This window comes from Homo sapiens, chromosome X (assembly GCF_000001405.40).
Source record: "Homo sapiens chromosome X, GRCh38.p14 Primary Assembly".
NCBI classification, from domain to species: Eukaryota; Metazoa; Chordata; class Mammalia; order Primates; family Hominidae; genus Homo; species Homo sapiens.
Window position 1 is genome coordinate 39872064 of NC_000023.11, and position 13932 is coordinate 39885995.

General features: G+C 48.0%; 3 annotated features.

The window, feature by feature from the left end:
- Positions 2449-2748: an enhancer, noted in NCBI's record as "active region_29531". NCBI's record gives its function as "activates an Ori minimal core promoter by ATAC-STARR-seq in GM12878 lymphoblastoid cells {active_cell/tissue: GM12878}" and the evidence as "EXISTENCE:reporter gene assay evidence [ECO:0000049][PMID:35858748]".
- Positions 3220-3721: an enhancer, noted in NCBI's record as "H3K4me1 hESC enhancer chrX:39734537-39735038 (GRCh37/hg19 assembly coordinates)". NCBI's record gives its function as "activates a minimal SCP1, AML or CMV promoter by ChIP-STARR-seq in naive H9 embryonic stem cells {active_cell/tissue: H9 hESC(naive)}" and the evidence as "EXISTENCE:reporter gene assay evidence [ECO:0000049][PMID:30033119]".
- Positions 3722-4221: an enhancer, noted in NCBI's record as "H3K4me1 hESC enhancer chrX:39735039-39735538 (GRCh37/hg19 assembly coordinates)". NCBI's record gives its function as "activates a minimal SCP1, AML or CMV promoter by ChIP-STARR-seq in primed H9 embryonic stem cells {active_cell/tissue: H9 hESC(primed)}" and the evidence as "EXISTENCE:reporter gene assay evidence [ECO:0000049][PMID:30033119]".

Below are 13932 nucleotides of genomic sequence, written 5' to 3' on the forward strand. Positions count from 1 at the left end.
AAAGTGAAAAAACATGCAAAGAAAACCTTAAGTTAACATATAAGGAAGTAGAGGCCAAACAGTAAGTACCTGTGGATGGAATGGATGAATAAATGAGCAATTACAGGACATAAACAGGCAAGGGAAGGTCCCCAAAGCAAAGGCTTTCAGATTAGTCAAGGTGCCCAGGCTGGCTCAAGGCCACATTATGAAAAAGTCCTTTGTCCTAGAAGCCTCTTCTTTTACCTCTCTCTTCCTACTCCACTTTCTCATTCTTCTCTTGCTTTTCCCCCTCCTCTTTCCCTCTTTCTCCTTCTGTTCTTTTTTTTTTTTTTTTTTTTTTTTTTTGAGACAGGATCTCACTCTGTTGCCCAGGCTGGAGTGCTGTGGCACGATCTTGGCTCACTGCAGCCTCTGCCTCCCGGGTCCAAGTGATTCTCCCACCTCAGCCTCCCAAGTAGCTGGGATTACAGGCACACCCCACTACACCTGGCTAATTTTCTATATTTTTAGTAGAGACGAGGTTTCACCGTGTCAGCCAGGCTGGTCTCAAACTCCTGACCTCAGGTGATCCACCTGCCTCGGCCTTCCAAAGTGCTGGGATTACAGGTATGAGCCACCGCGCCCGGCCTTCCTCTTTTTCGTCTTCCCCCTTCTTCTTCTCTTTCTCCTCCTTTCTCTTCCCCCCTTCCTCTCTCCCTCCTCTTTTCCCTTCTTTGTCCTCCTTCTCCCTCTTCTCCTTCCCCCACCCACCTCTCTCTTTCCACAGCCACCTGGTATATATTCTTAGCCCCGTACCCGCCCACCGCCACACACCAAAATCTAGGCATTTCCTGATGTCCTGGACAAAGGGAAGGGAAAACCAATCAAACCATCAATCCCAGTTCCCTGACAGGCCTGGCAAATGTGGTCCCAGCACTCCGTCCATCCTTCTCTCCCTTCCCCTCACCACTTCCCTCATGCTCCAGCCTCTTCACCACCCCCTCCTATTCTGGTCAACTCCTACTCGTCATTCACCATCCTGCTCAGATGTCACCTCCTCTAGAAAAGGCGTCAACCCAAGCCGACACAGCAGGCCCTATTGGGGTAGGTGCCTCTCCCGTGTGCTTCCAGAAGCCCCTGCTCACCTGTGTCAGAACACGCAGCCCACTGGAGTGGAACAGTCTGCCTTGGTCTCCACCAAGAGCCGTGGAGTTGCAGGGAAGGTGCATTCCCATTGCAGAACCTCCAAGAGCCTGCCCTCCAGAAAACCTGCGAGAGTGACTCTACCAGCTTAGTCATCCCTGAATTATGGCAAAGACTAACCCTAAAGTAGCATTTCCTGGGTTGCAGGACATGGGGTAAGTGTCCTCTTGGTGTCTCTTATATCAAGGTGGCTGGGCAGCCCCTATATTGTGTCTGGACCCAAAGAAGCACTGGATGTTCCTTGGGCTGGTTCCCTGGAATTCGAGGGCTTTTCTTTTCTTTTTTCTTTTTTTGAGAAAGGGTCTCAGTCTGTCACCTGGGCTGGAGTGCAGCGGCATGATCATGGCTCACTGCAGCCTTCACTTCCTTGACTCAAGCTATCCTCCCATCTCAGCCTCCTGAGTAGCTGGGACTACAGGTGTGCACAACCACGCCTGACTAATTTTTTAATTTTTTGTAGAGATGGAGACTCACTTTGTTGCCCAGGCTGGTCTCAAAATCCTGAGCTCAAGTGATCCTCCCGCCTCGGCCCCCCAAAGTGCTGGGATTACAGACATGAGCCACTGCACCCAGCCGAATTCAAGTTTTATTTATTTATTTCAATTATTTTTTTTCTTCTTGAGATAGGGTCTCACTCTTTCACCCAGGCTGGAGTGCAGTGGCATGATCACAGCTCACTGCAGCTTCGACCTCCACGGCCCAAGTGATCCTCCCACCTCAGCCTCCTGAGTACCTGAGACCACAGGTACTTGACACCATGCCCAGCTAATTTTTTGTATTTTTCATAGAGATGGGGTTTTGCCACATTGCCCGGACTGGTCTCAAACTCCTGGTCTCAAGCCATCTACCCTCCTAGGCCTTCTGAAATGCTGGGATTACAAGCATAAGCCACCACACCTGGCCTCAAATTCAAGTATTTAACATGTTTAAGCCACATCTTTTCCACTCTGTCTCCAGACACCTCTGTTGTGATACACTGTATTTCTCAATTATGGCCACAGTGATATTTCTGGTCCCATATGTTCTTCCAGGATCTCCTTACTCCCTCAAGAGGTGGTGTCTTTTTCCTCTCCCCTTGAACCTGGGTGGGTGACTCTTCCAACCCATAGAATATGGTGGAACTGATGCCATGTGGTTTGTGATGCTAAGTCACAACATGCAAACAGCTTCTGCTTGGTGCCCAGGAGCTCTCTTTTGGGACACTGACCTTTGGAACCTAGTCGCCATGCTGTGAGAAAGCCCAAACTACACAGAGAGGTCGTGTGTAAATATGTGACCAACAGCCCCAGCTGAGGGCTTTAAGGACAGCCAGCATCAACTGGCAGACCTATGAGTGAACAAGCCTCCTTTCCAGGATGTGAGTGTTGCCTGACAAGGAAACCCCCCTTCCCGTGTCTGCAGTAGCAGAGAAGCCCTGGGGCAGAAAATGAAAGGCAGAGATGACTGGTACTCACTTTGGGTGAGACGCTGTCAGTGTGAGTTGAGTCAAAGCCCTCACGGAATGGTCCACCAAGGCCACAGCTGGAAGCAGCAGAGGTGAGGCCTCAAGGAAGTGAGCCAAGGCACCAGAGGCAAATGATCCAGCAATTTCTTTAACCCCCTTTGCCTCAGTTTCATCATATGAAAAATGGAAATCCTAACAGGGCACTTGTGAGGATTGAACATGATAACCCATGCAAAGTGCCAGACACATTGGAAGTGCTCAATACATATTAGTCTACTAAGAGAAAGGGGCCAGTTTCAGTGGCTCACACCTGTGATCCCAGCACTTTGGGAGGCCAAGGCAGGCAGATCACCTGAAGTCAGGAGTTCGAGACCAGCCTGGCCAACATGGTGAAACCCCATCTCTACTAAAAATACAAAAATTAGCCGGGTGTGGCGGCAGGTGCCTGTAATCCCAGCTACTTGGGAGGCTGAGGCAGGAGAATTGCTTGAACATGGGAGGCAGAGGTTGCAGTGAGCCGAGATCGCGCCACTGCACTCCAGCCTGGGTGACAGAATGAGACTCCGTCTCAAAAAAAAAGAAGAAAGAAATAAAAGAAAGGAAAAAAGAAAGGTTGTTAAGGTCCCAGGAAGACTTCTGTATGTATCACAGACTGGCTGCTCTCGGGAGCCATAGACTTCCAAATGTGAACAAAGAAGGTGCTTTGGAATTCTGAACTTAATTTTTTAGATGCCTTGGACTTGGAACGTTGATTTTACACCATAATATAAAGAATGGGGGTGGGATAATGAGAGCAGTTTTTCTGCCACAGGGAGAGGGAATCACGGTTCCACCAGTTCAAGAGGATGGCTGGCTGGTAGAAGGGTCTACGTGCCCATGGGAGCCCTGTAACCGGCCTGGGACTCTTCCCGCACAGGGACGGGAGACGCATGAAAACCCCAGAGAGGTTCACAGGAACAGGGAGGAGAGGGGATGGAGCCTCACGCCATGGCAGCCAGCAGCAAGGGAAGCCTGCACATCGCACAGAGGAGGTCCACTTTTCATCTGGCACTGCGGCGGTAAAGTGGCTGTGGCTAAATGCAGTGTCTCAGCAGCGATTGCAAGGGTGGCCCAGGTCCTCACACCCCAGCACAGTAGAGAGAGCAGCCAAGGGCACCCAAGCCACCATGGCACCAAAGGGCGCCCGCCTGGGGCATGTAGCGGAGTACCATGCAAGGCCTCTGGACTAGAGGCTGTAGCCAGCCACAACATCAGGTTTCATGTTCAAGTCCAAGAGGGACAGGCACACTTTGTCCAAGTCCACTCGGCCCAGTGGGTAGGGCCAGGATGCAGATAGCAGCATGCGGACACATGTCCCTTGCGCAATACCAGGACAGTGTAGGACCAGCCTCTCCTCCACGCCCCACACCGCCCCCTACCCCCACCCCCAGCCTCCCACTCCCAGGGCTGCAGCTCATGCCTGGGAAGAATGAGTGAGGGAGAATCCTGAAGAGACAGCATTTGCCTAAAAGTGACCATGATTTAAACCAGAAGTGACTGTTACCTTGACTTGGCAAGTTTAAGTTGTCGACCATCAGCAGAAACGGGGGCTCAAGATCCCAGTTAATGCTGCAGTTGGGGAGAAATAAAGAAAAGCTACATCTTAGCACACCTGAGTGTCAGGAGAGTGGAACTTAAACCTGCTACGCAAGGCTTTACTCAAGGCTTGGGAATAACAGGAGGAAATTAAGCCAGAGCGGAGCTGACACATAAATAATCCAGTTGACAAGCTGCGACTTGCTCTCCAGGGGCCAGTGTCCCTGCAGAAGGCACACGCATGGGAGGGGGCAAGGAGAGGGAGAAGGGGAGGAGGTCAGGAGTCTGTCCAAAGGAAGACAAAACGTGTGACTCTCCTTTTTGGATCCTGCTGCCTCTCTCAACAACTCTTAATTACTAGCAATCAGCTCTTAATTACCTACAACAAGAGAGACCAGGGAAAACAGATAAATGAAATCCACAGATAATCCCCAAACCCCAATTTGGTCGATAACATCATCAAGCTTCCCCAAGTAACCTCTTGCCAGGACTCCTGATCTCCTGACAAGTTGCGGATCAGAATGATCCCCAATTCTCCCTCTTTCCTTGCCCTTGCCCTTGCCCGTGCCCGCCTTCTGTTGATGCAGAGAGAAGCAGGTGGACCCTAAATAATTCCCAACTGGATATTCTTTCCTCCTGTCCCTGGGATGTGGCTGCCAGGGTCCCTGGCCAGGTGCCAGGCTCCAAGCCTCCTGGCACTGGACTGTTTTCACTGTCTGTTTGCCCAACAAACAGGAATGCTGGCTGAGAATTCAAGCCACCTTGGAGGACAGGAAGAAAGGACAATAGGTTCCAGGGCAAGGGATGCTGAAGGCACACTGTGCAGGGGGCTGCTGTGGGCCACCACATGTCCCACAGACCCAAGGGTCTCTCTGTCCACACCTAAGTCAGGATGGCTGCCTAGAGGCAGAGGACAGAACCAAGACAAGTTAGAACCGAGAGTGAGCGCTAAGATGGACGAAAGATGGCCAAGTCTGGGGGCTCCCCATTCCTGTTTCCTGACTTTTACATACTCAGGCAGTCAGGAATTATTTTTCTTTTTTTTTAGAGACAGGATCTCGCTCTATTGCCTAGGCTGGAGTACAGTGGCACAATCATGGCTTACCGCAGCCTCGAACTCCTGGGCTCAAGCGATCCTCCCGCCTCAGCCTCCTGGTAGCTGGGACTACAGGTGTACACAATCACACTTGGCTAATTTTTTTATTTTTTGTACAGACAGGGTCTCACTTTGTTGCCCAGGCTGGTCTCGAACTCCCGGGCTTAAGCGATCCTCCCACCTTGGCCTCCTTCCCAAAGTACTGGGATTACAGACATGCAGTCGGGAATTCTTAAATGTTCCCTGTCTGAGCAGGCAGGCAGGGCATATACCTTAGGTCTCATGCATGAGCTAGCAGAATCCTGGGCAAACTGCCTGTCCTGCTTAAAAAGAATGTCCTGGGTTCATCGCCTGGGGAAAAATGTTCAAGACTGACCCAGCAGCACAGCAAATGGGCCAGTATCAGTTAAAGAGGAAAAAAAAAAAAGGAGCAAAGGGAATCCATAGAATCAACAGTACCCCCACCCCTCCCTTTCCCACTCTTTCACCCCACTCACCCCACCCCAGCAATGGCCAAGGCAGCTAGGGGCTGGTGGCCTCTTGGGTTCAGAGAAGTAGCCACAGTTGAGCATGAACTTGAACATCGCTCTCCCTTTTCTGACTTTTCTTTTTTCCTACCGTCCAGTGAACACGGTGGACAAGCCAATCCTCATTCCCGCAGGCCTCGTTAATGAACCTGCAGCAGCAAATGTGCCTTGTTATTGCTGGAAACGTGGAAGCAGCACGTTCCCCAGCAACGTGCAAATACCACACAGGAAGAGCCCTCTCCCCTCCCCCTCCCCCTCTCCCGTCCCCCCCACCTCTCCCAGCGTCGCACAGCCGAAGCTTCAAGTGCCTGAGTCCTGCTAAGCAGCCTATCCAGGGCGTGCCCCGACCCTTACCCATCGCCCCCCTAGATTTCTGTGGAGTTGAGTCGGCCAGGAGGCGGCACACGTGGAGGTCCCAGAGGGAAGGTTGCCTACTGCAAATCGGAGGCTAGACAGTGCATTGAATGGAAGAACACCGGGCCCAGGCTGAGGCTAAGAAATACTACAGGCTAGGGGCCGCAGTGGCGGGTGGGGGGGGGGGGCGCAGGGATGCTGCTATGGCCTCACCTCTTCACGACGCCCCTCTCAACCTTGACTGGGTCACAGTCTCTTCCACATTCTAAATGGGCATTAATGCAGCCAACGCTAATTCAATTTCATCACAGGGAGACAGGAAAGATTTTTCTCCAGTCCTTTGCTTCTGCTATGTCTGTCTCCTCCTATGGGGACTGTTGGTTCTTCTTCATGAGGTTGGATTTTCAGGCTTTTTGGCCTTTCCTTACTCCATTTGATGACCATTTGAATAAGGGAGAGACCAGGAGGGAGAGACAGGGAAACAGCCAGGCCCCAGGGACAAAGCAGTTTCCTACAATCCAAAGCCACCATGATTCCGGGGCATCATTATGCATCTCTCCTGTGACCTGGTGACCTGGGACTCCAGATAGCCCATGACACAGAAGATGAGATGTACCAACAGCCCTTCTCACCAAATTGATGTGAAATCAAATGATGCAGGGAAGTTTTTAGAAGGGAAAAGAAAAAAGAGAGTGAGAAAGACAACATTCGATTTCCCCTGCTGAGGAGGCTGACAGCACTCTCTGCCAAACAAAAATTGCCTGCCTTTCTCAAAGCCAGCATTCTGGAGCTGTTTTCTGATTATTTCAATCAGTCTAATAACGTGGAGGTTTGAGACAGCTGCTTTTGCGGTTTGGAGGGTCTGGCTTTTCTGCTGGCTCCTGCAGAAGCATAATTGTTGCTCCCTGAAGCTCACGTGCAACTAGGGAAAAAGAGTTTGAATGGATTTTTCGACCCCAGAATATAACCATCCTGGAATGTGTTGCAAGGTCAAGCAGTCTTTTCGAGCTGACTGGCTGGATCGGAGGCCCGGTTGCCATCTCTAGTTCACTGTTCTGCATTCTCAGCTGGTTTCCTCGCTGATAATAAGAACTGGCTAAATGTGGGTTCTGTTCATTCCTGTGTGTAGTCCCCAGGTCTCGGAGCCCAGTGGGGTGTGCTGTCTGGCTGCCTGGATTCTGGGAATGATGGCTCCCTTCGTGGCTTGTTTCTTCATGGCAGGCTTGTGCAGAAGGGTCGCCAGCCATGCCCTAAACCTCTATAAGAGCACAGAGAGAACAGAGTGCACGCTGCCCACCGTGTGCCACAGAGCCCAGAGAAAAGGGCACAGTTCATTTTAAAGGGCAATGTTGAACTCAAGGTGGCTTTGAAGGTAGCCAAGGTTGGAATAAAATTTCTATTAGGCCAAAAAAAAATCAAAATATCAGCGGAGCGCTGTGGCTCATGCCTGTAATCCCAGCATTTTGGGAGGCCAAGGCAGGTGGATCACTGAAGGTCAGGAGTTAGAGACCAACCTGACCAACATGGTAAAACCCCTGTCTCTACTAAAAATACAAAAATTAGCTGGATGTGGTGGCACATGCCTGTAATCCCAGCTACTTGGGAGGCTGAAGCAGGAGAATTGCAATTGCTTGAGCCCGGGGAGGCGGAGGTTGCAGTGAGCTGAGATCGTGCCATTGAACTCTAGCCTGGGCGACAAAGTGGGGGAGACTCTGTCTCAAGAAAAAAAAATCAGAATATCATCATAGAAAGTTAGCCAGTGTATTATACAGGACTACATTTATTAGAGTGCTGTCAAATTTTGAGTACCTGCTGTGAACAAGAGCCGTGCTAGGTGTTTTTGTATGCATCACCTCATTTAATCCTCACAAGTGATGCAGATATTACAATCGCCATTTGACATTCCAGAAATCTGGAAAACTCTCCTGTGTGTTCATATTTTTTTTCTGCAATTGCAAATCTTCCCTTCTCTGGGCCTCTGTTTTTAAAACACTTGCAATCCTAAGTAAATCTTAAAACAGCACTGTCTTCCTGAATGCCATTATCTGATGGGAAGGGTGGGTGAACTCAGGCAAAGAGCAGACTTCCAAGGCCTCCTCACAGCTATCTGCACCCACCTCCTCACTGTTCGGGGAATCCATTTTTGATTTTCCTTTTTTGGCTAATCTGTCCCTGATTGGAAATTTCTTTCTGACACTAATGCACACATGCACGAGTTGATTAATATCTTCCTTCTTGGTTGCAAAGAATTAGCAGCAGCCTAACTATCCTCAGTATAATCTCGTGTTCATTGTCCTGTAGGTTTTCACAAAATGGGGAGGAGACTGTTGCTGACTCTTTTTTTTTTTTTTTTTGAGATGGTGTCTTGCTCTGTTGCCCAGGCTGGAGTGCAGTGGCAGGATCTCAGCTCACTACAACCTCTGCCTCCTGGGTTCAAGCGATTCTCCTGCCTCAACCTCCTGAGTAGTTGGGATTATAGGCGTCCACTACCATGCCTGGCTAATGTTTTAATGTTTTATATTTTTAACAGAGACGGAGTTTCACCATGTTGGCCAGGCTGGCCTCAAACTCCTGACCTCAAGTGATCTGCCCGCCTTGGCCTCCCAAAATGCTGGGATTACAGGCGTGAGCCACTGCGCCCAGTCAACTGTTGCTGACTCTTGAGGAGCCCATGTCCACTGCCCACTACAGGGGGTGTAACGGCAATCAAACAAAGTGTTTGCTGAACATCCCAGTGCTGGGCTACCCAGAGCTCACAAAACCCACCACCAAACCAGGGGACGGTGTTCTGTCCACACTGAGCTTCTCAGAGCCTTCACAAGAGAACCCCCTAACAAGGCAAAGCTATAGGGTGAGGAGGCTGGCCAGCCCCCTAAATGATACCCAGAACACATACATCCAAAGATGTCTCCCTCACTGCTGACACCTTAAGAGGCCAGAAACTTATTTCAATAATGCAGTCATGGCTCAAAACCGCATGCAATTCCACTTTTAGAACCACTGCCAGAGGCAGCTGACAGACGACATTGAAAAAAGGAGTTTCACTGGATAAAGCTTAGTCTCATGTTTGCCCTCGTTGCCTAAAGTATTATTCTCTGGGTATGGATAATCTGTTTGGAGGGCGATCCTGGGAAATAGGGTTCAGAGAGTGGAGAAAGTGAGACAAGAAAGGGGAAAAAGACAAAAAGAGTGTGTTAGTGAACAGGTTACCTCCATAGACAATGGAGGCCCAGTTCCATTTGGGCCCCTCCGGGAGATGGTGTGGTCACTCCAGGACACACCTCAGACTTCTCCCGCTGAGTCGTAATGAAAAGGAGATATTGATCCATCATCTCCACTGCCTCACTGGTTGAGAGTCAGACCTGAGGGCATTTATTCCCCAGCTGTTTCAATGCCATCATCTCGCCTGCAAGCCACACCTGGCAGAGATGCTCAGAAAACCATCTGCAGGTACAAGAACTGTCTGCAGGGGACCTCTGGGGCGGGCAGAGGGCACATGGGCACCAACAGCACCTGCTATAGATCTGAATGACTTTTGAATTGTCAGCGAGAAATTAAATCCATGTTTGGATGATAAAGATTGCTATCAGCAGAGATCTTTAGAGAAATAATAATAATAGCTGAAGTTTATTGAGCGTTTATTGTGTGCCAGCTGCTGTTCTAATCACTTTATATGCACTAACCCATTTAGTTCTCACACATATGTATAAAATAGGCACCATTATTATATTCTTTTGACAGATAAGGAAATGGATGTGCTACAAACTCCAAGACAATTCCACAAACATTTTGGAGCAGTGAACCCATCATTGGAATAAACAAACAGCCATCCAGGTGATAGTTTTAAGAAGATAAATTAGATTGGTGTATATATAAATATATGTATATGCAAATGCATTTGAGTATGTTTGGTAAAAGCAAAACTAGTCTCATGATTTATACATGAACCAATGAATAACCAATTGAATTTTGGCCACCCTAAAGGCCCTTGGAGTTCAGAAGCAGGAAGAGAATGTGCTAGAAATATCAAGGGAAGCTTTATGGAAAGGACGGGCCTAGAGCTGTAATTAAAAGGTGAAGAAATAGCATGAAATAAGTCCTAAAGGCAGGATGAAGCAGAGTGGGGAGGGGACCAACTCATCTGGCATATGAGTCAAGATGGCAATGGCAATGTTCACCAAATATCTCCAGCCCTCTTCTTTCCCAGCATATGGTAGAATTATATTTTCTTGCCCCTCTTTGAAGTCAGGTGTGGCCATGTGACTTGATTTGGTCAAGGAAATGTCACCAGAAGTTACTTGTGTCCTGTCGAATTGGAAGCACTGAATCAAGATGTGATTCACTATGTTCTCTCCCCACTTTGGAGGGAACTCACAGACCACAAAAATGGACTCTCCATCCACCTGGATACCTGAGTAACTACCATGAGAAAAGCCTCCCCCTGCTGACCTATGAAAACGTGTAGCACGAGCAAGGAAGAAATTTTTTTTGTTGTGTTGTAAGTCACTGAGATTTTGGAATTGTTCTGACAACATAACCTAGCCTGTCCTGATATGCTAGGCTTATGCTGCCGTAACACAACTGCAAGATCTCAGTGGCTTAAGAAATTTCATGTCCATACAAAGTTCACTGCAAGTCAATGGATGAAGAGGGAAAAGTGTTCTGCTCCATATAGTCACTCAGGAACTCAGGCAATGGAGGCTTTACCATCTGGAACACTGCAACTGATCACCCCAGCAAGGGTTAAGAGAAGTCGGAGGGTCCTGCAGAGCCTTTTCATTGTCTCAATGTAAAATTCTCACACGTCACTTCCACATATATTTCATTGACCAGAGCTAGTCACATGGCGCTGCCTAATTGCAAAGGGGCTGTGAAGTAGGATCTCCCCACTGTCCAGGAAGGAGAGAACTGGCTATTTGTGAGCACTAATAATGTCCACCACAGCTGGCTTCAGAATACTGGCAAGTGATGCTCAGCCAGGGATATGGAGAGCATGGGCACAGGTGAGGAAGGCTTTTGAGAACCAGAATATGACCCATGCAATGTCAGGGAGCCACTGTAAGTATATGAGCAGGGCAGGGACTTGAGGAAGGTTGAGTTAAAGTATCACTGGACTAGCAGTCTAGTGTTGGGCAAACAGGCATGGTGGGGGTAAATGGAAGTGAAGTGGTGACCCTATGCTTATAGGCAAGGAGATTTGTTGTGAGGCTGTTATATTAACCCAGGCCTGTGCTGATAGTTAGGATGTCACCTGGTGTTATCAGAGGAAGAGCAATAAGGAGTAAATCCTGTAGCATTTAAAAGAGTGGGGAGGGGTATGGTGTATCGAGAGCCCAGTCTTTGACATCAGATAGACTGAGATTCAAATTCCACCTCTGACACCTACCGGCTTCTTGCTCTTAGGCAAAATATATCATCTCTCTAAGCCTCAGTGTTCTTATCTACAAACTGAGGATAATAATAATATTTACCTTGTACAGCTATTATGAGTATTGAAAGACTAGAGATTATGTTTGTAAATTGACAGTGGAAGTGGTGATGATGGTGGAGGTGGTGGTGGTGGTGGTGGTGGTGGTGGTGGTGGTGGTGGTAGTGGTAGTAGTAGTGCTGGTAGTAGAGATGGTGGCGGAGATGATGTGGGTGGTAGTAGTGATGGTGAATCATAAAAGGACTGAGGTTAAGGCTTTGGGCAGGGAAAGTACCTACAATGAGGAGGCAAAATGAAGAGGCTCCCCGTATACAAAATGTAGAAGTAGTAGTCAGAAGACAGAAAGTCAGCTATACAATCCAAGGTCCTAGAAACCAAAGGGAAAACGAGTTTCAGTAAAAAACTCTAAACTCAAAGTGGACAAGGAAGATATGAACAACAGCCATTGGGTTTTAAAAAAATAAAGTGACTATGACCTGGTGAAGGAGTAGGTTGGTGGCAAGGGATTAAGAGGGACTAGACATCTGAAAAGCAGGGCCCAGCTTGTGTGGCCCTCTCTCAGAAGGAGTTTGGTAGTGGAAGGATGGAAGATCAAAGAACCTGTATCAGTGAGAAATGCCTTTGGCTGCAAGTAACAGAGTATATATATATATATATTCAATCAAAGATGTAACAAAAGAAGGCAATGGAGAGAAAGAGAGGGGAAATATGTACAAATGCTTTGCATTCAGAGTTGAAAGAATCAGCCATAGGCAAAAAAAAAAAAATCAATAGCTAAAATTAAAAATAAGGCTCTTTAATTTTTAGTTCTTTTCTTTGCCTAAGAGCTCTTTACAGAGCATTTACATTGAAGAACCCCCATAGTTGGGTAAGACTGAGCTATTTGTCTTTGCTACCTGTCCCTGAATATCTTCCCTAGTGGCCACCAGGAAAAAGACTAATTTCCCAGCTACCTGTTGTCATGTGACTAAGTTCTGGCCAATGGGACATATGGAAGCATGGCGTGTCAGTTTCCAAAAATCTTCCTTAAAAGACAGCCTGTCTCTATAAAGTACTAAGAGGAGTCAAAATCATAGAGGCAGAAAGTAGACTGGCAGTTGCCAGGGAATGGGGGCAGGGGATGGGGGAATCGGGAGTTAGTGTTTAACAGGCACACAGTTTCAGTTTTACAAGATGAAAAGAGTTCTGGAGATGAATGGTGGTGATGGCTGTGTTACTGGTGGAGGGTGTCCACGTTCTTGGTGTTTTGAACAAAGAATTGGACAAAACACACAAACAAAGCAAGGATAGAATGAAGCAACAAAAGCAGAGATTTATTGAAAACGAAAGAACACCCCACAAAGTGGGAGCAGGCCGACCACAGGGGCTCAAGAGCCCCTTTACAGAATTTTCTGGGATTTAAATACCCTCTAGAGGTTTCTCATTGGTTACTTGTTGTGCACCCTATGTAAATGAAGTAGTGGCCTGTAATCACAAGCTGAAGTGAAGTTATACAGGTTACACCCTATGCAAGCATCTGATTGGTTGTGGAAAGCAACCAATCAGAGGCTAAAGTGAAGTTACAAAGTTACACTTCTATGCAAAAGAAGACTTCACTTGGAGTCCATCTGATTGGTTGTGGAAAGCAACTGATCAGAGGCTAAAGTGAAGTTACAAAGTTACACTCCTATTGGTTGCAGAAAGCAACCAATCAGAGATACTTTCAACTTTCCATCTGCAACACAGAAAAAGGGGATGGGGGTTGCAAAGGGAGTAGCCTCCCGTCCTTTTGTGTTTGTTGTTGTTGTTGTTGTTGTTGTTGTTATTGTTGTTATGGAGTTTCACTCTTGTTGCCCAAGCTGGAGTGCAATGGTGCGATCTCAGCTCAGTGCAACCTCCGCCTCCCAGATTCAAGCAATTCTCCTGCCTCAGCCTCCCGAGTAGCTGGGATTACAGGCACGTGCCACCATGCCTGGCTTATTTTTTGTATTTTTAGTAGAAATGGGGTTTCACCATTTTAGCCAGGCTGGTCTCGAACTCCTGAACTCAGGTGATCTGCCCACCTCGGTCTCCCAAAGTGCTGGGATTACAGGCATGAGCCACCACGCCTGGCCACCTCCCGTCCTTTTGTTACTCAGGTGTGGAAATTTGGGGTTTTCCTTTTGATTTAGTTCTAGGAAGTCAGTGCGAATTGGCCTTAAGTTCCCTGCCTCCAGACCCTATTCTCCCACCTCAGCTGCACGCCATTATGAGTACATTTAAAAATGTCTCAGATGGTAAATTTTACATCATATGTATTTTACCACAATAAAAAAATATTGAGGAAGGGGTAAAGACAGCTAGTCTGTGCCTCATCATCCCTTTC